The following is a 23,028-nucleotide window of genomic DNA, read 5'->3' as shown; positions in this document are numbered from 1 at the left end:
GAACGTTTATGTCTAGCTCAGGGATTGTAAATACACCAATCGGCACTCTGTATCTAGCTCAAGGTTTGTAAACACACCAATCAGCACCCTGTGTCTAGCTCAGGGTTTGTGAATGCACCAATCGACACTCTGTATCTAGCTGCTCTGGTGAGGCCTTGGAGAACCTGTGTGTGGAAACTCTGTATCTAACTAATCTGATGGGGACTTGGAGAACCTTTTTATCTAGCTCAGGGATTGTAAACACACCAATCAGCGCCCTGTTAAAACAGGCCACTCAGCTCTACCAATCAGCAGGATGTGGGTGGGGCCAGATAAGAGAATAAAAGCAGGCTGCCCGAGCCAGCATTGGCAACACGTTCGGGTCCCCTTCCACACTGTAGAGGCTTTGTTCTTTCGCTCTTTGCAATAAATCTTACTACTGCTCACTCTTTGGGTCCACGCTGCTTTTATGAGCTGTAACACTCACGGCGAAGATCTGCAGCTTCACTCCTGAGCCCAGCGAGACCACAAGCCCACCGGGAGGAACGAACAACTCCAGACGCGCTGCCTTAAGAGCTGTAACACTCACCGCGAAGGTCTGCAGCTTCACTCCTGAGCCAGCGAGACCACGAACCCACCAGAAGGAAGAAACTGCGAACACATATGAACATCAGAAGGGACAGACTCCAGACGCGCCATCTTAAGAGCTGTAACACTCACCGCGAGGGTCCGCGGCTTCATTCTTGAAGTCAGTGAGACCAAGAACCCACCAATTCCGGACACACTGGTACCTAAAGTGCAAGACAAAGTCCCTTTTGCTTGTCCCTCCACTTTTCCCAAACAGAAGGAGTCTCTTCTCATAGCCAGCACAGCTGGGAATTTGCTGTATATTACCTGAAGTCAATAAGTCTTAGAGTCTCACGCAAGGCCTATAGTATACTTCCTGGGTATCACTACTGGTTATTCAGGGCCCAAGGGCTCTTTAGTCAGCACATGGTAAGTCCTGGCAGGACTGGGTTTTTCACTTCAAGGCAATGGATTTCCTTCTGGCCCAGGGTGTGTCTAGAAATGTCATTCAGGATCTAGGGCCTGGAAATGAGAACTCACAACTCTGATTGGTGTCCTATTTTACTGTGACTGAGCTGGTATCCGTGATGCAAGACAGAGATGTCTTTACTCTCCCCTCTCCTCTCTTCAAGTGGAAGGAAGGGATTTATTTTGGAACTGCAAGCTGTACAGCTTGGGGTTGGGGGACAAGTGGTACAAGCATTTCCTTAGCTTCCCCAGCTGGAGTCTCAGTAGCTCACATATCCCCCTGAGTCTACTGGCTCTTAGCCAAGTTTAGCACTAGGACTTGCCTTGAATTTGCAGTCCTTGTGGCCCAGACTGCTTTTCTATTTTTTTGACGGCAATATTAGATTTATTAAAGTTCCATATTTAAAAACGCAATACATCTTTAAGCTTTTGTGTTCATCTTTTTTTTAAAATTATACTTTAAGTTCTGGGATATATGTGTACAACGTGCATGTTTGTTTACATAGGTATACATGTGACATGTGAGTTTGCTACACCCATCAACTTGTCATTTACATTAGGTATTTCTCCTAATGCTATCCCTCCCCAAGCCCCCTACCCCCAACAGGCCCTGGCATGTGATGTTCCCCTCCCTGTGTCCATGTGTTCTCATTGCTCATCTCCCACTTATGAGTGAGAACATGTGGTGTTTGGTCTTCTCTTCTTGTGTTGCTTTGCTGAGAATGATGGTTTCCAGTTTCATCCATGTCCCTGCAAAGGACATGAACTCATCCTTTTTTTATGGCTGCATAGTATTCCTTGGTGCATTTGTGCCACATTTTCTTTATCCAGTCTATCATTGATGGGCATTTGGGTTGGTTCCAAGACTTTGCTATTGTGAACAGTGCTGCAATAAACATATGTGTGCATGTGTCTTTACAGTAGAATGATTTATAATCCTTTGGGTATATACTCAGTAATGGGGTTGCTGGGTCAAATGATATTTCTAGTTCTAGATCCTTGAGGAATTGCCACACTGTCTTCCACAATGGTTGAACTAATTTACACTCCCACCAACAGTGTAAAAGCATTCCTATTTCTCCACATCCTCTCCAGCATCTGTTGTTTCCTGACTTTTTGATGATCACCATTCTAACTGGTGTGAGATGGTATCTCATTGTGGATTTGATTTGTATTTTCCAATGACCAGTGATGATGAGAATTTTTTCCTAACTTTGTTGGCTACATAAATGTCTTCTTTTGAGAAGAGTCTGTTCATATCCTTCACTCATTTTTTTTTCAAGGGGTTGTTTGTTTTTTTCTTGTAAATTTGTTTAAGTTCTTTGTAGATTCTGGATATTAGCCCTTTGTCAGATGGACAGATTGCAAAAATTTTCTCCTATTCTGTAGGTTGCCTTTTCAGTCCGATGATAGTTTCTTTTGCTATGCAAAAGCTCTTTAGTTTAATTAGATCCCACTTGTCAATTTTGGCTTTTCTTGCCATTGTTTTTGGTGTTTTAGTCATGAAGTCTTTGCACATCCCTAAGTCCTGAATGGTATTGCCTAGGTTTTCTTCTAGGGTTTTTATGGTTTTTAGGTCTTACAGTTAAGTCTTTAATCCATCTGGTGTTAATTTTTGTATAAGGTGTAAGGAAGGGAAACAGTTTCAGCTTTCTGCATATGGCTAGCCAGTTTTCCCAGCACCATTTATTAAACAGGGAACCCTTTCCCCATTGCTTGTTTTTATCAGATTTGTCAAAGATCAGATGGTTGTAGATTTGTGATGTTATTTCTGAGGGCTCTGTTCTGTTCCATTGATCTATATCTCTGTTTTGGTACCAGTACCATGCTGTTTTGGTTGCTGTAGCCTTGTAGTATAGTTTGAAGTCAGGTAGTGTGATGCCTCCAGCTTTGTTCTTTTGGCTTAGGATTGTCTTGGCTATGTGGGCTCTTTTTGGTTCCATATGAAATTTAAAGTTGTTTTTTTCCAATTCTGTGAAGAAAGTCATTGGTAGCTTGATGGTGATGGCATTGAATCTGTAAATTACCTTGGGCAGTATGGCCATTTTTACAATATTGATTCTTCCTATCCATGAGCATGGAATGTTGTTCCATTTATTTGTGCCCTCTTATTTCCTTGAGCAGTGGTTTGTAGTTCTCCTTGAAGAGGTCCTTCACATCCCTTGTAAGTTGGATTCCTAGGTATTTTATTCTCTTTGTAGCAATTGTGCATTGGAGTTCACTGGTGATTTTGCTCTCTGTTTGTCTGTTATTGGTGTATAGGAATGCTTGTGATTTTTGCACATTGATTTTGTATCCTGAGACTTTGCTGAAGTTGCTTATCAGATTAAGGATATTTGGGGCTGAAATGATGAGGTTATCTAAATATACAATCATACCATCTGCAAACAGAAACAATTTGATTTCCTCTTTTCCTGTTTGAATACCCTTTATCTCTTTCTCTTGCCTTATTGCTCTGACCAGAACTTACAATACTATGTTGAATAGGAGTGGTGACAGAGGGCATCCTTGTCTTGTGCTGGTTTTCAAAGGAAATGCTTCCAGTTTTTACCCATTCCATATGATATTGGCTGTGGGTTTGTCATAAATAGGTCTTATTATTTTGAGATACATTCCAAAAATAACTAGTTTATTGAGAGTTTTTAGCATGAAGGGCTGTTGAATTTTATAGAAGGCCTTTTATGCATCTATTGAGATAATCATGTGGTTTTTGTTGTTGGTTCTGTTTATGTGATAGATTATGTTTATTGATTTGTGTATGTTGAACCAGCCTTGCATCCCAGGAATGAAGCCTACTTGATCGTGGTGGATAAGCTTTTTGATGTGCTGCTGGATTCAGTTTGCCGGTATTTTATTGAGAATTTTGCATCGATGTTCATCGTGGATATTGGCCTACAATTTTCTTTTTTTGTTGTGTCTCTGCCAGGTTTTGTTATCAGGATCATGCTGGCCTCATAAAATGAGTTAGGGAAGATTCCCTCTTTTTCTATTGATTGGAATAGTTTCAGAAGGAATGGTACCAGCTCCTCTTTCTACCTCTGGTGGAATTCGGTTGTGAATGTGTCTGGTCCTGGACTTTTTTTGGTTGGTAGGCTATTAATTACTGCCTCAATTTCAAAACCTATTATTGGTCTATTCAGAGATTTGACTTCTTCCTGATTTAGTCTTGGGAGGGTGTATGTGTCCAGGAATTTATCCATTTCTTCTAGTTTTTCTAGTTTATTTGTGTAGAGGTGTTTATATTATTATCTGATGGTAGTTTGTATTTCTGTGGGATTGGTGATGATATCCCCTTTATCATTTTTTATTGCGTCTACTTGATTCTTCTCTCTTTTCTTCTTTATTTGTATAGCTAGTGGTCCATTTATTTTGTTGATCTTTTCCAAAAACCAGCTCCTGGATTCATTGATTTTTTGAAGGGTTTTTCGTGTCTCTATCTCCTTCAGTTCTGCTCTGATCTTAGGTATTTATTATCTGCTGCTAGCTTTTGAATGTGTTTGCTCTTCTTTCTCTAGTTCTTTTAATTGTGATGTGAGAGTATCAATTTTAGATCTTTCCTGCTTTTTCTTGTGGACATTTAGTGCTATAAATTTCCCTCTACACATTGCTTTAAATGTGTCCCAGAGATTCTGATACATTTTGTCTTTGTTCTCATTGGTTTCAAAGAACATCTTTACTTCTGTCTTCATTTTGTTATTTACCCAGTAGTCATTCAGGAGCAGGTTGTTCAGTTTCCATGTAGTTGTGCAGTTTTTAGTCTGTTTCTTAATCCTGAGTTCTAATTTGATTGCACTGTGGTCTGAGAAACAGTTTGTTGTGATGTCTCTTCTTTTACATTTGCTGAGGAATGCTTTACTTCCAACTATGTGATCAATTTTGGAATAAGTGCAATGTGGTGCTGAGAAGAATGTATATTCTGTTGATTTGGGGTGGAGAGTTCTGTAGATTTCTATTAGATCTGCTTGGTCCAGAACTGAGTTCAAGTCCTGGATATCCTTGTTAATTTTCTGTCTCGTTGATCTGTCTAATGTTGACAGTGGGGTGTTAAAGTCTCCCATTATTATTGTGTGGGAGTCTAAGTCTCTTTGTAGGTCTCTAAGGATTTGCCTTATGAATCTGGGTGTTCCTGTATTGGGTGCATATATATTTAGGATAGTTAGCTCTTCTTATTGCATTGATTCCTTTACCATTAGGTAATGCCTTTCTTTGTTTCTTTTGACCTTTGTTGGCTTAAAGTCTGTTTTATCAGAGACCAGAATTGCAACCCCTGCTTTTTTTTTTTTCTTTCCATTTGCTTGGTAAATCATCCTCCATGCCTTTATTTTGAGCCTATGTGTGTCTTTGCACGTGAGATGAGTCTACTGAATACAGCACACCAACTGATCTTGACTCTTTATCCAGTTTGCCTTCTGTGTCTTTTAATTGGGGCATTTTAATTGGGACATTTCAAGTTAATATTGTTATGTGTGAATTTGATCCTGTCATTATGATGCTAACTGGTTATTTTTCCTGTTAGTTGATGCAGTTTCTTCATAGCGTCGATGGTCCTCACAATTTGGCATGTTTTTGCAGTGGCTGGTACTGGTCGTTCCTTTCCATATTTAGTGCTTCCTTCAGGAGCTCTTGTAAGGCAGGCCTGGTGGTGACAAAATCTCTCAGCATTTGCTTGTCTGTAAATGATTTTATTTCTTCTTCACTTATGAAGCTTAGTTTGGCTGGATACTAAATTCTGGGTTGAAAATTCTTTTCTTTAAGAATGTTGAATATTGGCCCCCCCTCTTCTGGCTTGTAGGGTTTCTGCAGAGAGGTCTGCTGTTAGTCCAATGGGCTTCCCTTTGTGGGTAACCCGACCTTTCTCTCTGGCTGCCCTTAACATTTTTTCCTTCATTTCAACTTTGGTGAAAATCTGATGGTTATGTGTCTTTGGGTTGCTCTTCTCGAGGAATATCTTTGTGGTATTCTCTGTGTTTCCTGAATTTGAATGTTGGCCTGCCTTGCTAGGTTGGGGAAGTTCTCTTGGATAATATCCTGAAGAGTGTTTTCCAATTTGGTTCCATTCTCCTTGTCACTTTCAGGTATACCAATCAAACATATATTTGGTCTTTTCACATAGTCCCATATTTCCTGGAGGCTTTGTTTATTTCTTTTTACTCTTTTTTCTCTAGTCTTGTCTTCTCGCTTTATTTCATTCATTTGATCTTCAATCACTGATACCCTTTCTTCCACTTGATCGATTCGACCATTGAAACTTGTGTATGGTTCTCGAAGTTCTCGTGCTGCGTTTTTCAGCTTCATCAGTTCTTTTATGTTCTTCTCTATACTGGTTATTCTCATTAGCATTTTGTCTAACCTTTTTTCAAGTTCTTAGCTTCCTTGCGTTGGGTTAGAAGATGCTTATTTAGCTCAGAGGAGTTTGATATTACCCACCTTCTGAAGCGTACTTCTCTCAGTTCATCAAAATCATTCTCCGTCCAGTTTTGTTCCCTTGCTGGCGAAGGGTTGTGATCCTTTGTAGGAGAAGAGGCGGTCTTGTTTTGGGAATTTTCAGCCTTTCTGCGCTGGTTCCTCCCCATCTTTGTGGTTTCATCTACCTTTGGTGTTTGATGTTGGTATCCTACAAGATGGGGTTTTGGTGTGGATGTCCTTTTTGTTGATTTGATGCTATTCCTTTCTGTTTGTTAGTTTTCCTTCTAACAGTCAGGCTCCTCAGCTGCAGGTCTATTGCAGTTTGCTGGAGGTCCACTCCCAACCCTGTTTGCCTGGGTATCACCAGCAGAGGCTGCAGAACAGCAACTATTGCTGCCTGATACTTCCTCTGGAAGTTTTGTCCCAGAGAGGCACCCGCCAGATGCCAGCCAAAGCTCTTCTGTATTAGGTTTCTGTTGGCCCCTACTGGGAGGTGTATCCCAGTCAGGCTACATGTGGGTCAGGGACCCACTTGAGGAGGCAGTCTGTCTGTTATCAGAGCTCGAACGCTGTGCTGGGAGAACCACTGCTCTCTTCAGAGCTGTCAGGCAGGGATGTTTAAGTCTGCTGAAGCTGCGCCCACAGCGGCCCCTTCCCCCAGGTGCTCTGTCCCAGGGAGATGGGGGTTTTATCTATAAGTCCCTGACTGGGGCTGCTGCCTTTTGTTCAGAGATGCCCTGAACATCTAGAGGTAGAATCTAGAGAGGCAGTCGGCCTTGCTGAGCTGTGGTGGGCTCCACCCAGTTTGAACTTCCCAGCAGCTTTGTTTACACTGTGAGCATAAAACTGCCTACTCAAGCCTAAGCAATGGTGGACGCCCCTCCCCCCACCAAGCTTGAGCACCCCAGGTCGATTTCAGACTGCTGCGCTAGCAGCGAGGATTTCACACCAATGGATCTTGGCTTGCTGGGCTCCGTGGGAGTGGGACATGCCGAGCCAGGCACTGGAGGGAATCTCCTGGTCTGCTGGTTGCAAAGACCGTGGGAAAAGCGCAGTATCTGGGCAGGAGTGTACCGTTCCTCCTGGAAGTCTCTCACGGCTTCCCTTGGGTAGGAAAGGGAAATCCCCCAACTGCTTGCACTTCCCGGGTGAGGTGATGCCGTGCCCTGCATCGGCTTGCCCTCTGTGGGTTGCGCCCACTGTCCAACCAGTCCCAGTGAGATGAGCCAGGTTCCTCAATTGGAAATGCAGAAATTACCTGCCTTCTGTGGGTATCTCACTGGGAGCAGCAGACCAGAGCTCTTCCTATTTGGCCATCTTGCCAGACCCTCTCCAGACTGCTTTTCAAGTTTATTTGGGGTACCTGTACACTTTAGCTTACCCTGGTGAGGCTTGCCAGAACTGATGTTCCAACTGCTGGGATGGGCGATTCCCCTCTAACTAGGGGTGGTTTAAATACTCCCTCCAAGTGTAAATTAGTTCATCCATTGTGGAAAGCAGTATGGTGATTTCTCAAAAAGCTAAAAGCAGAACTACCATTCGACCCAGCAATCCCATTACTGGGTGCATATGCAGAGGAATATAAAGCATTTTACCATAAAGACACATGCACACAGATGTTCATTGCAGCACTATTCACAATACCAAAGACATGGAATTAACCTACATGCCCATCAATGACAGATTGGATAAAGAAAATGTGGTAGATATACACCATGGACTACTATGCAGCCATAAAAAATGCGATCATGTCTTTTGTGGGAACATGGATGGAGCTGGAGGCTATCATACTTAGCAAACTAAAGCAGGAACAGAAAACCAAACACTGTATGTTCTCATTTGTTTGTGGGAACTAAATGGTAAGAAGATATGAATACAAAGAACAAACAACAGACACTAGTTGGGGGAGGGCTGTTGGGAAGAGAGAAAGGAGCAGAAAATATAACTATTGGATACTGGGTTTAGTACCTGGGTGATGAAATAATACCTACAACAAACCCCTGTGACACGTGTTTACTTATGTAACAAACCTTCACGTGTACTCCTAAACGTAAAATAAAAATTAAAAAATAAATAAAAATCAAAATTAAAAAATAAATAAAATAAGTACTCAATCCACAGGTGGGCATCAGCTGAAATTATCCCAGTTTTACTTTCTGCTGAGTCAGGGCAGCACCGAGGTCAATGCAATGTTTCACAATTGCTGTACTCTTCCTCTCCCAAGTGCACAGATTCTCTCTCCATGCCATGTGACCATTGCTAGGGGATGGGGGAGGGGTAATGCTGGCAATTTAAGACTGTCTTTCCTGCCCTCTTCATTGCCTCTTTCAGTGATACAATGTTAACACGAGGTACTGTGAGTGTTTACCTGACTGAAGATGCTTTTTTTTTTTTTTTTTTGGTTACATAGTTGTTGAATTGGTGTCCTTGAGTTGGGGTGGGACAAGCAGTGGAGCCTTCTGTTTGGCCTTGTAGCTACACCCCTCTCTGAATGCAGTTGTTAAAAAGAATATTATGAAAGAATATTTATTGGCATAGATAAATGCTCTCAAAAGTGTAGATGCTTGTTTACATGCTTTTCAACACGTAACATTGTTTATAAGAATAATATTGGGTGAAGCAAACCATAAAATATCAAATGATAGAGGATTAATTAGTACTATAATACATACTCTGATTAAATATAAAGCATGGTTAAAAATCATGAATTTGGGGTGTTTTCTAAGCCTGTATGAATATTGATGCAAATGCTAAATGAAAACACACACTATATGTTCAGTATAATTTATAATATCTGTAACCTATATGTATAGGAAAATATAAGGGATTATATCCTGAAATAATAATTAGTCAACTTTTATAGTAGGGGAATTATTTGTTTAAAATGTATTTATTTTTAAATTTGAAATTAAGTCTACCAAGTAAAATGACTATCAACAAAATTATGGACTAGATGTTTGCCCACAAAATTCATATTGAAGCCCTAACCCCCAACATGATGATATTCGGAGGTAAGGCTTTTAAGAGACACTTAGGTATAGATGAGTTCATAAGGTTGGGGCACCTGTGATGTGATTAGTGCCCTCATAAGAAGAGGAAGAGAGACCAGAGCTTCCTCTCTCTGTTGTCAGAGGATACAGCAAGTAGGTGGTTATCTGCAACCAGGAAGGGAGCCCTCACCAGAACCTGACTATGCTGGTACCTTGAGCTTGGACTTTCAGGCTCCAGACTATGAGAAATAAATGTCTCTGTTAAGCCACTCAGAATATGGTGTTTTGTTATAGCAGTCTGATCAGACTAAAACAAAATGACAACAGCAAAACTGGAGGCTTTCTATTTCAAGGATCCAGTAGTCTCTAGTACTATACAGGAGGTAAAATATATATCTCTAATGACCAGAAATTGTTCCAGTAATTTTAAAAGCATAGATCCCAAGAGGAAAGGTTGGATCAATTAGCATGATAATAAAATTGATGGAAAGAGTAGTTACTACTTGGTGTCTACTAGGTTTTTGACACTGTAAGAGGCACTTTTACACCTTAACTCATTTAATCTTTATGACAACACAGTGTGTCACTTAATTTTTATTATGCTTCATGGGAAGGTGGGGATTATCTCAATTTCACAGATATGGAAAGTACATCTCTAAGAGATTAAGGCACTTAAGATCATATAGCTATCATGTGCAGAAAGCAGCGAGAATTTCGTTTGTCTGGTTCCTATGTATCTGTTATTTTGATGATCACTATGCCAACTGGGTGTAATGAGGGAAGAGTTTTTAGAAGGGATGGTATTCAGCTATGATAGTTAACCAATAGCTAGAGTTTAGGTTTGAGTACTCTGTTGTCTTAGAGATACGTTTTCATTAAGCATTGATGATGAAAGCTGCTTTAGTTCTTACACTGTTCACTTTGGATGAAATAGGTTGGATTGCAAAAAGGGACATTTTTAACTTTTTATTTTGAAATAATTTTAGACTTACTGAAAAATGGCAACATCAGTACAGATTTTCTGCATACTTAGTTTCCCCTCATTTTAACTTCTTCTATTCCCATAGTATAATTATTGAAACTAGGAGACACTCATTGATACAATACTATTAACTGCACTACAGATTTTATTTAGATTTCACCAGTTATTCCACTAATGTTCCTTTCCTGGTCAAGGATCTCATCCAGTATCTCATGTTTCAATTAGTTGCCATTCTCCTTAGTCTCTTCTAGTCTGTGACAGTTCTGTCTTTTCTTGTCTTTCATGACCTTGACATTTTTGAGGTATACTGGTAAGATATTTTTCAGTATGTTTCTCAATGTGAGTTTTTCTGAAGTTTCCTCATGGTTAAATTCAGATTAGGAATTTTTGGTGGGGATAACACAGAAGTGTGTCTTTCCCAGTGCATGATATCAAGAGGTACATAATTTCTCTATGTCTCCTTACTGGTGATGTTAACCTTGATCACTTAGGAAATGTGGTGTCACCAGGTCATTCCATTATAAGGATGATACAGTTTTCCCTTTGTATTAATTAGTATTTTATTAGGAAATACTTTGAGATTATGTAAATACCATGAATACCTGTTTATTCATCATATGTTTTGCTCACTAATTTTAGCACTCATCAACATTTCTTAACTACAATAATCACTTTTGTGGTGTTTGCCCAATAGCAATGTTCTATCTATATCATTCATTCTACATTTATTAATTTGAATTCTACTGTAAAAAGATCTGCCCTTCTTCTCCATTTATTTATTTATTCAATTATTTATTTTTATTAGTATATACTCCAAGGTATTTATTTTATTATATGGATTGGGCTCTATTATTATCATCATTTAATTATCCCTATATCTCATGCTATATAAAATAATGAACTCCAAAAGGAACAGCTAAATAAGTGTAAAAATGAAACCACAGAAATGCTAGAAGAAAATATGGGTGATTTCCTCTTAAGGTTTGTTGTTTAAGGCTTTCCAACTACAACTTTTCAATTTACATGAAATTCCATATGCAAAAATAACTAAATACATAAAATATTGATAAATTAGACTACATGAAACTAAAACAATTGCACTATAAAACACGATAAACAAAATTGAAAGACAACTGATAAACAGGAAGAAAATGTTTGCACCATATCACAAAAGACTAATATCCCCCAAATATAAAGAACTCCTAAATCGACAGCTAAATGACTAAAAACCTGATAGAAAAGGGAAAAAAAGACATGAACAGGAAATTCACCCACACACTTACACACAAACACACACACACACATGTATATATATGTGTATATGTAAAGATGTCCCATAAATATAGGAAAAATGCCTAAGCTCACTTATAATTAGAGAAATGCACATTAAAACAATAGCAAGATGCTGTTTTCTTCCTATGAAACTGGTGAAAATTTAAAAATATGACAACATATTCTTTTGGCAAGGCTGTGGGGAATTACTCCTCCTTATTGCTGATGGGAATGCAAACCAGTGCAAAAGGGGACTTTTTCAACTATCTAGCACAGATGTTATACAGATGAAACAGAAATGTATTTATTTTCTGGTGATATTTGGGAGAAGGCTGCGTTACGATGATGTTTCTGGAGGTCACTGGTAATGTAAGTTATATTACATAAGATTATACAACTGACATTTATAGCTACTTGAAATACTTTCCCAAACTTTCCCTTATTGATTGTCTTTAAGGAAATATAGTCATGTTCAGGGAGTGTCAAAATGCCAGCCATCTCCATTGTTACTGAAACTATTTCTGCTTCCCTCCTACTCTCCACCTGATTCAGAGATCTGACTTACTTTCTACAAGAAAATAGAGCTATAGAGTCATATAACTCAGAGCTGAAAAGACCTTTAGAGATGATCTAGCCCATGCCTGAATGATTTAGAGGAGTAAATGAGGCCCAGAGAGGGGCAATGACTTGTCCAGGGTCACACACTGAGCCAAGACTGGAAGAAAAGGGTCCTGACCAGAATGCTCCATATCTCTTGCAAGATATGTGTAAATTACCAGACACACAGTAGGCATGCAATATATGAGAGCAATAACAACCATTTATTTCAAAGGGTGCAAGGGTTCCCAATTTCATTCCATGAGAGGAATTTGTGTTTTAAGTATCAAATTGAGGAAAGCATACACTCTATTTCTGTAATCATTAATAATATTTCTCCCAGGGTTCTCAAGTAGCAGGCATCCATTAGCACTTAACAGCTATAACATCATGAGAAGGCATCAACGGAGTAGTGACTACTAAATTTCAGTCCAGCTCTATTATCTTTTCCTCTTGATAGTTTGACTTCGAGCTTTAGTAACTGTGGGCCTGCACTGGGCCTGGAGCCTCCATTTCAAAGGAGGCTTGTGGTTGCACAGTGCACAAGGATGCATACCGAGGGAGGTAATGGGAGCTAGAATCCAGCGTATGATCTGCTAACTAAACCTGGAGCCCTTGCTTGGGACTGTCTTTTCCCAAGGAAGGGGGACTTTGTTCTCCCAAAGGCTGTCTACATGTGCCTACAGAGTTGTGTCTACCTTGAGGGGAGAGCTTATTAATTCACACAGAGGTGCTGTATAAGGTAATGGAGGCTGATATGGTTTGGCTGTGTGTCTCCACCCAAGTCTCATCTTGTAGCTCCCATAATTCCCAAGTGTTGTGGGAGGAACCCGGTGGGAGATGATTGAATCATGGGGGCGGGTCTTTCCCGTGCTGTTCTGGTGATACTGAATGGGTCTCACGAGATCTGATGGTTTCGAAAACAGGAGTTTCTCTGCACAAGCTCTCTGTTTGCCTGCTGTCGTCCACATAAGATGTGACTTGCTCCTGCTTGCCTTCCTCCATGATTGTGAGGCCTCCCCAGCCACGTGGAACTGTGAGTCCTATTAAACCTCTTTCTTTTGTAAGTTGCCCAGTCTCGGGTATGTCTTTATCAACAGCATGAAAATGGACTAATACAGGGGCTCTGGTTAGAATTAAAAACCAAGTCTGTCTAAATATAAAGCCTGTGTTTCTCCATCTTTACTCAGAAAGCTATGTTTTTATTTATTATTTTTATTTTTTAATAATTTAATTTTTATGGGTACATAGGTGTAAGGGCTGTATTTTTAAATCTTAACCCAGGAAGCTAGAAGATTTTATAGAATATCTGCTCCAAATCTTACCCTTTATAGACTATAATTTTGGCCCCTTATGATTAAGTGCCCTGCACATAATCCCACAGTACATATACCTTGCTCTGAAGGTATCATTCAGTGTATTTCTGGAAAAAAAGGAAGTCTTTAATTTTTCAAATATTAGGAAGTCTCTAGGCCTTGAGACATACTGTTCAGGCAGGATTCTTTTAAGATGCCAAAAACATACTTTCAGCATTCCTTTGTTTTTATAAAGCCTTTAAAAATATCTGCCTGGAAATTTATACTAAGTCTTCACTTAATTCAAGGCAGTGGATATTATAGCTTATTTGGGGACTCCAAACTTGAATTTTGGGGTTTTAATGTGACACAATAGTGTGAACACGGTTTGGGTATGGATGAATCTTGGTTATTTCCTGGTGCTTTTTCGAAGTAGTTTTATAACTCTGGGCTGGCCATTTAACTCCACAAAGATGTATTACCTATTTTTTTTTTTCAGTTAATAGTAAATTATGATTGTTTTTCCATGTCATTATCGTGTTATATAATTATTTTTATGTCTGCATAGTATCATTGTGTGGCTCAACTATCAAAAGTAATCAATCTCCTATTATGGTTAGATGTCTGTGCTATTTCCCATAACTGTGATAATTTCTCTTATAGCTTTATCTCTGCAAGGCCTCTAATTCTGAGTGTTATTTTTCAGATGAAATCTGCCTACTCTAGATATCTATGACAATACCAAGAAATTTATTTAGCTCGGGAATTTCTAAATATGGAAAAATTAGTAACAATAGTTACTGTTTATTGAGTATCTACCAGGCGCTGGATCCCTTCTAAATGAATATTTTGGGTTAGGAAATGTTTCAAGATGGGCCTCACCAGCTGTTCACTTCAACTGTAGGGAAATCCAGTAGGAAGTGTGGTTGTGATCGCCATAGCCTCCTGGTATTCTGGCCAGTACAACTCAGCAGTAACATAAAATCCCAGGATACCAAATCAGTTTCAAAATGGAGTTCTTCTTCTAGGGAGGGTAGTTTTCATTTTGATCCAGTTTGTAAAGAGTCCTTTCTGGTAGTTAAATGCACATGCCGTTTCTCTCTTAGTTTCTTCTTTTCATTGTTCCTGGTTGCAGATATTAAAAACATATCATTAGCATAAGAGAAGAAACGTATTTCCCAACTCACTGTGGCATATATTTTACTCATCTATAAGTGGTAGCCGACAGCCAAGGATACATTTTAAGAGTATAAAAACCTTAGCCCTCATCCTTCTAAAATGAATACTTAGTCATTCTTAATTTCTGTTCTCAGCAATCTTCAGGATATTTGTATATATTTCCTAGTGTTGAGAAAATGAAGTATAAAAATTTATTAAGAGATGAGCCACAATAAGGAAGATGCCAGCAAGCATGCTCAGAATGGTGCAATGGTGTGCATTTGTCTCTTCCACTCTACTTAAACCTCAAAACTCTATGCTAGTTTCAGCTCCTGCTTTCTTTGATTGTATTTTAAAATGAGGCAGCTAGGTAGATTGACTGTCCCATTCACCTAAGTAGTAAATGATGTTTGTGTGTTCCAGAGCTAGAGGAAGTTTGGGCTTTCTGTGTGATGCACATGTTGCAATCATATATACTAATGCCTGCATACTCCCTCTGCATACTAATGGCAGAGAAAAGCTATTTTGAATGAGAATATTTACATTCAGAACCTGGAGCCTTTTAGAAAAATAGTAACAAATTTTGATAAATTTTCAATCTGTGGGCTTTCCTACATTTTTATAGAACATGATTTAGAGATCCCAGCTGAGGAGCCTATGATAATAGCTCATCATTATATAGCATAGATTGCATTCAGTTATTCATTTGTTCATTCAACAAATATTTATGAAACACATGGTATATGCCTTTTCACCTGTAATAAAAATTAGAAATCGGATTTTCTGACTTAAGTGCCAAATGCATTTGCTACAGAAAATAAGGTGATTAGAGAGAGATGTTAGCATATGGCTAGTTGGAGCCAGGGAGCAGATGATATTCACAGCAGGAGTGAGTATAGAGAAAGAAGAGGAAGGTGTTAACAAAGGAGATTTTGGAAGACCAAGATTTAGGCAAGGAGTGTAGATGTAAAAGAGTCCACCAAGGAAACTGTGAAAGATAATATAGTGAGTTAGGTGGAAAATGATTCTGCTTGTTGTTGGAAACTAGGGAACAGGTGAAAACCAGAGAGAGCATAACTAAGCTGTACAAATCAAACTATTATTTTTATGTGTAACAATAAAACAATGGGCTGTTTTTATTATTGTAATGATAAAATTCATTCCTATCCTCCAAGGTATTGTAGGTTACAAAGGAAGTCATATAGATTATGTTTTTGTCCCCTCATCAACATTGAGAATGAACTCACAAATGAATAGCGTGTTTTATATATGCTTAGTTTATCATCAAAATGTACATGTATTTTATAGCCAAAAGCTGCATAATAGCCGTTAAGAAAACAAATGTTAACTTCACCATGATCCCTAAGAAATTTCCAATATGAGTTCAATAATTCACTGATTTTCCCTGATATATCTGACTAACATTATCATCAGCTAATTTTCCAGTGTTAACATTTTTTATACATCATTTGGATCAGAACTTTATCTACTATCTGAGTCATTAAGAAGTCATTTTGGTCAGTATTAAGATTATTCAACAAAATGAACATCAGCCAAAGCTTTACTTTAGCTGAAAATTATCCAATTTTGAATTTTAAAATTTAATTAAATGAATTTAAGCCATGAATTCCCTCTGTGGAACTGCACATCTGGAGCTACTTGCAGGATTTGCACCTTCCATTTTGCTGCTTATGCTGGTTGCAGCAGTTCTGGCAGAGTATTCAGAATAACCCAGAGGCTTATTAGTAGAGTAGGAACAGAGTCTAAGAGTGAATACTATAAGGAAAGGGAAAGGATGGGGCAGAGCAAACAGTGACCCAGGGAGATCGGAATACTTAAAATAATTAGATTTCTAGAAAAACTGAATGCTTACTCTCACATCTGCCAACACTGCTGCTACCTTTATGGATGTGACACAACATTTGTGCTATACTTCAGAGAAATCTTAGAGACATTTTCTGTCTCTTGCCAGTATCTCCAGTTCTTCAGTATGTAGAGGAACTGAAGTGTGGCTGGGCCATTTAACTCCATACATGCCTTCAGAATGATTCATACATTTACAAAGCTATGTCAGTCTTCTTTCTTCTGAAGGTTTTTCAGGTTTTGTTTATTTTAAATATTTGTTGCACAAGCAACATTATAACAGTATTAAATATTTGGTATGAAGAGATGGTGAGGTAATAGATGATTATTAAGAATGTTCTATTTCTGTTAAATTTCTGTTTCCTTCCTATGACTATTTTGATATAATTTTTATAATATCATGTGACAAGATAATCTAATAACACATTTCTATTTTTAAAATGGATTCAATGGGAAAATCAGGTTGCTTTATAGAAATTTATTCTAGAGCAAATTTATTTAGTTGGTATGTCAGCCTACTCTTTAAAAAATGTTTCCAGCTGGATGCAGTGCTGTGCCCCTGAACTCCCAGCTACCTGTGAGGCTGAGGCAAAAGGATTGCTTGAGCCCAGGAGTTCAAATTCAGCCTAGGCAACATAGTAAGACCCCGTCTTTAAAACAATTTTTAAAATGTTGCCATTTTGTGGGAAAATGTACCCTCCTTCCTCCCATGTTGGGGTAATACATGCTGCTGCTGAAGCCCAGTAGAGGGCAAGTGCATAGTGTAGTGGAAGAAATTCAGGCTGGGGAAGTGTGAGGTAATGGCACATAGTTTCAATTCCTGGCTCTGCTATTCACTCATTGTTCGATCTTAGACCTGGCTTAGTCCTCAGTGTTCTCATGAGCAAAATGAAAGAAATTGTGATAGATGAGTTCAAAGTGCTGCTTTAGTCGTAATTACCATGATCAGACATGGAGATGGAGCTGAACTCCATTGCTCTTATAGGGCAAAAAATTAAAAACAAACAATCCTACCATTGGTACATTTCCAGGCACATAGACATAGGAGCTAGTCTATTTGGGTTTGAGTTTTATCTCTATCATTTACAAACTATGTGACCTTAGTTGGCTTTGTTAACTTCCCTATGCCCCAGTTCTTCATCTGTCAAATGAGTGTAATAATAATGCCAAGTTGTCTGGTTGTAAAAATAAAATGAAGTAATGCATGTAAAACCGTCAGATTCAACAGTCGATTATAAACAGTGTGCTGTTTGCTGTTTTTTTCTTCAAGTAGCCAAGTTATATGATATTTATATAGACCACATATGCCAGCAGTCTTTTCACCTTTCAAGGCATCTTGTAGAAAAAAAGTCACGTTTAATTTTATTACCAGATGGCTTTTATTTATCAAAAATGATAGTCTCTCCTAATAAAATTATTCCAATGCTAGGCATTCTGCTGAGAAAATAATATTTTTATTTACTATTTACTTATTTTCTAACAACAATAGTTTGAGTAATAACCCATTTCTTTAAGACTAAGTGATAAGACACTTAGGCAAATTAGGAACCACATTCAGTAATCACTCATATTTGTTAGGTAACCATTGTCTTGGGGTTTGAGAATAGTCCAGTGTGACCTTGTGCAAAACCTGGAAGCACTTTCAGGCTCTTCCAGCCTGTTGGACTACTGATATATCTCATCTTCTCAATTGTACTCACAGAGGTTGGTAGGGTATTTAGATTAAGGATCACTTTTATTTTTAATCTCTGTAATAAACAAGAATGATTGAAGAGGTGTTGTCACAGGAGACTCCATCCTGTTTAACAGGAATATTAGGTAGGCAGGGGCATGGTGGAAAGCCATAGATAGAGACAGCTGACTTGAATCCTCTTCCCATCTCTGCCACTATTCACTGTCCTCTCCTCTCTGTGTGTTTCTGTAAAACTCTGTGATTCTATGAACCTTGTTAACTTAGCTGGTTAAAAACAAACAGAAACCAAAACCAAAATCCAGGACATCAGTTCCTTTCTGTAAATCTGCGAAACATTTAGTTGCTTGTCACAACATATTCAGTGTGATCTAGACACAGCCTAAACTTTTCCTTCCACATAGGCCTAATGGAGGATGTTGATGTTTTGTTTCCTTACTTCACAGAGGTGTCATGAGGACAAGCATGAAAAAAGTAGGGATGCATCATTTGAGTTCTTCAGGAGGAAGCTACTACCTAAGTAAGAGACATTAGTATGATTAAGTGTGATGTCATTAATATTCCCCCAAACTGCCTTTATCCTATTTGTACTGTAGGTAATTTTTGTGACTGGGGAACATCCCCAGTTGTATTTTCATTTTAATGAGAAATGATGACAGTGTTGCCTCATTGCTCTTAAAAAATACAAAAATTAAAACACACACACACACACACACACACACAGAACTGACATAGGACCTCAGTACATTTTTACCTTTACCTTGCTGCTGCTGCTTTTCTCCTCCTTCTCCTCCTCCTCCTTCTCTTCTTCTTGTTCTCCTCCTCCTTCTCTTCTTCTTCTTCTCCTCCTTCTTCTTCTCCTTCACCTTCTCCTCCTTCTCCTTCTTCTTCTTCTCCTCCTCCTCCTCCTCCTCTTCCTCATCCTCCTCCTCCTCCTCCTCCTCCTCCTTCTTCTTCTTCTTCTTCTTCTTCTTCTTCTTCTTCTTCTTCTTCTTCTTCTTCTTCTTCTTCTTCCTCTTCTTCTTCCTCTTCTTCTCCTTCTCCTTCTCCTTCTTCTCCTTCTCCTTCTTCTCCTTCTCCTCTTTCTCCTCCTTATTCTTCTTCTTTCTTCTTCTTCCTTTGTTTGACAGAGTCTCACTCTGCCGCCCAGGCTGGAGGCTGGAGTGCAGTGGTGCAATCTCGGTTCACTACAACCTCCGCCTCCCGGGTTCAAGCGATTCTTCTGCCTCAAACTCCTGAGTACTTTGTACTACAGGCATGTGCCACCATGCCCGGCTAATTTTTGTATTTTTAGTAAAGATGAGGTTTTGCCATGTTGGCCAGACTGATCTCAAACTCCTGGGCTCAAGTGATCTGCCCGCCTTGGCCTGCCAAAGTCCTGTGATTACAGGTGTGAGCCACTGTGCCCACCCTACCTTGCTTCTTCTTAAAAAACAAAGCAAAACAAAACCATAAACAAAATGCTGAGGTTTCTTCTAGCACTGGTCTTTATTGCTCACTAGTCAAAGCTCCTCATTTTTTGCAATTTTGGTAAGAATACTTACCATGAGACCTTTCTTTTTAAACACATTTTAAGTGCATTCTACTGTATTGATAACTATAGGCAAAATGTCGTATAACTATAGGCAAAATGTTAAACAGATCTCTAGAACTTAATCATCTTTCATAACTGAAACTTTATACCAGTCGAATGCTGAACACTATCCCATTGTACGTCTACACCAAGTTTTCTGTATTCATTCATTTATCAATGGGCATTTTGGTTGTTTCCATATCTTGGCTGTTGTGAATAATACTATAATGAACATGTGAATCCAAATATCTTTTCAAGATCCTGATTTTAATTCTTTTGTGTAAATACTCAAAAATGGTATTGCTAGATCATATGGTAGTTCTATTTTTAATTTTCTAAGGAACCTCAATACTGATTTCCATAGCAGCTGCCCCATTTTACGTTCCTACCAACAGTGTATATAGGTTCCAATTTCTCAGCATTCTCACTAACACCTGGTAGTTTTTGTTTTGTTTTGATAGTAGCCATCCTAACAGGTATGGGATGATCTCTCACTGTGGTCTTGATTTACATTTCCCCAGAAATAAACTCATATATATATATATATATAAGATCAACTTATCTTTGATAAGGGTGCCAAGAATACACAATGGGGAAAGAATAGCCTCTTCTATGAATGGTGCTGGAAATACTGGATAGCCACATGCAAAAGAATAAAATTAGACCCCGTCTCCCACCACTTGCAAAAATCAACTACAAAAAGAGTCTTAAATGTAAAATATGAAACTGTAAAACTCCCAGAAGATAACATGGGGAAAATGCCTCTTGACATTGATCTTGGCAATGATTTCTTAGATATTACACTAAAAGTACAGGCTACAAAAGCAGAAATAAACAAGTGGGATTGCATCGAAGTAAAAAGCATCTGTACAGCAAAGGAAATAATAGAGTGAAAAGGCAACGTACAGAATGAGAGAAAATATTTGCAAACTATATATCTGATACGAGGTTAATATCCAAAATATGTAGAGAACTCCTACAACTGAATAGCAAAAAACAAATATTGCCATTTAAAAATTGGTAAATTGCTTAAATAGACATTTCTCCAAAGAAAAAGACATACGAATGGCCAACAGGCATATGAAAAGATGTTCACCATCACTAATCAACAGGGAAAGGCAAATCAAATCCCATTTTAGAGATGGAGAAATTGAGGGTCAAAGAAGAATGTTATTTGCCCAAAGACTCTAAACTATCTGGTGGCAGAGCCTGGATGAGAACCTTGGCCTTCTGATTCCTTGGGCGTACTTTTCCCACTCCAGTTTGTGCTGATGACTGCTCTGCCACTAAATCATGTGTATTAAAGTTTCTCTTCTACCAGTCTGTGAGGGCATGGATTCTATCATATTTAGCTGAAATGATTATTTCTTCAGCCTTTCTTGTGCAACTTCCTCTATGAATCCCTGAGTCTGCATGCAGAAATGCGTTACTGAAATGCAGAAGCCGTTTTCCCCCACTAGTAATAATCTGTTCCTCATTCAAATACACACCTTCTGAGCTGGGGTTTTGTCCTCTTTTGTTTTCTTTAACATAGATGTGTCCTGACTATGTGGAGGGACTGGAAAAGGAAAATAACGTTTCACAGGAGAAGGGCTGAGAATATTGTTAAAGCACAGACAATGGTGGAGCTTGAAATCAGAGAAAAAAAATACAGTATAATGGCTCCCTGTCCCTTGTAGCATTCCATCTTTCAGCTCTCACCATATTCCAAGCACAACTACGTCCCTTAACAAAATCATATCCCTGAATCCTGATGATACCCAACAACTCAGATAAATTTCCCAGACCTGTTCCCAACCTCTCTCTGGTCACACCTGCATTCCTGACCTTAACGACCTTCTCCCAACCTTGATTATATCCTTCAACCATAAAAAGCCACTTGAGCTGAGGCCATTCTACCACATTAATCATGTCCTCCGCTGTTAGTTATACTTCTATCCTCATGCTCGCTAAAGTGGCCACACAGCAATAGTATTTAACACACCCTTTCTGACTCTTCTTCCAAGCCTTGTCAAACTGCTTGGCTCTGATCAGATGTCCAGTGTGATCCTTGATTCTGAACACCAACTGGTGACTGATTCTGGGAGCCAGATTAAGGCAGGCGGTAAGAGCAAAGGAATTGGATGAACCAAGAGATATGTGGGAGAGAGAGAGAAATAAGATGTGAGAAAAAGGGTAAGGGGACTGAGTATGAGAAGGGCTTCATGGCATGGCCACCAAGTCTAGAATTAAATGTCTTTTGCTTGTGGGTGGGTATTGAGAATGAGTTTAATAAGGTAGGCTGGTTCCCAATTTTTACCTCTCTGTGAACTGTGGTCCAAATGGGCTGGGCTGTTGGACTGTATCACCTGAGCCTGATGGAGCAGGCTGATTGAGCATTTTCTGGAACGCTGTGTGGGTGAATGATGATGTACAGAATATGTCCTATCCATCCTCATTTCTTCCCATTCACTCCTAGCATGTTGGTATATACCTGACATATCATGGTTGCTCAAAATAGGATCATTTCTTCAGAATAATTCTTGCATTCCTTAGTATGGCATATAGAGCCCTGATTCTCAACTGCCTCATTTCTCATCAGGATAACCCTCCTCCCTTGTGTTCGCATGTGTGTGTGTGTGTGTGTGTGTGTGTGTGTGTGTGTGTAAGCACACAATTTTGTTCCAGCTGTGTTTATCCAACGGGGCCAAGTTCTTTCACATCCTGTTGCCATTGTACCTGTTGTTTCTCTACCTAGAGTACCCTTTTCCTCTATTTTTTGCTCAGTCTTCCAGTCTTATCACAAGCACTACTTTGTCCAAAAAGCTTTTCTTATTGGCCCTAGAATCTCCTCAGATGTCCCTTTTCTGTGTTCTCATAGCATTCCACTCTTAAGGCATCATTGCCATAAGAATGAAATAAACAAAACTTGACAGTTTTGTTTCTGATTTCATCCCATATTGAACCATGAGCTTGTAGAGGGCAGGGACTGCATCTTATTTGTATTTTTCTACTCCTAGTGCTTAACCCAAGGCCTTGTACATATTAGGATTTCAATGTATGTTTCCTAATATGTGAATGGAAACCTTCCTCCTATTTATCTTCTCTGTTCTATTTGACTTTTTTGTTCACTTTCATTTTTTTGTCTGTAAACTGAATACATACATTAAGAAGTCACCAAAATGAATGGGCATCTACAAGCAAACCCT

At 38.9% G+C, this 23,028-nt stretch overlaps 1 protein-coding gene across 3 annotated transcripts in view; it reads left to right on the top strand.

Annotated features, from left to right (window-relative positions):
• Positions 1–23,028, top strand: part of FGF13 (fibroblast growth factor 13) — a 590,297-nt gene that overhangs the window by 201,219 nt on the left and 366,050 nt on the right. The window contains exon 3 of one of the 3 annotated variants that reach the window (NM_001139501.2): positions 13,188–13,297. The exons of the other annotated variants lie outside the window; for them this stretch is intronic. The gene's annotated coding sequence lies outside the window, so the exon portion shown is untranslated. The remainder of the gene's footprint in view (positions 1–13,187; positions 13,298–23,028) is intronic. 3 annotated transcript variants of the gene reach the window in all.

Source organism: Homo sapiens, chromosome X (genome assembly GCF_000001405.40).
Source record: "Homo sapiens chromosome X, GRCh38.p14 Primary Assembly".
NCBI classification, from domain to species: Eukaryota; Metazoa; Chordata; class Mammalia; order Primates; family Hominidae; genus Homo; species Homo sapiens.
The sequence above is the reverse complement of the archived record's forward strand: the minus strand, read 5'-3'. Positions and strand labels throughout refer to the sequence as shown.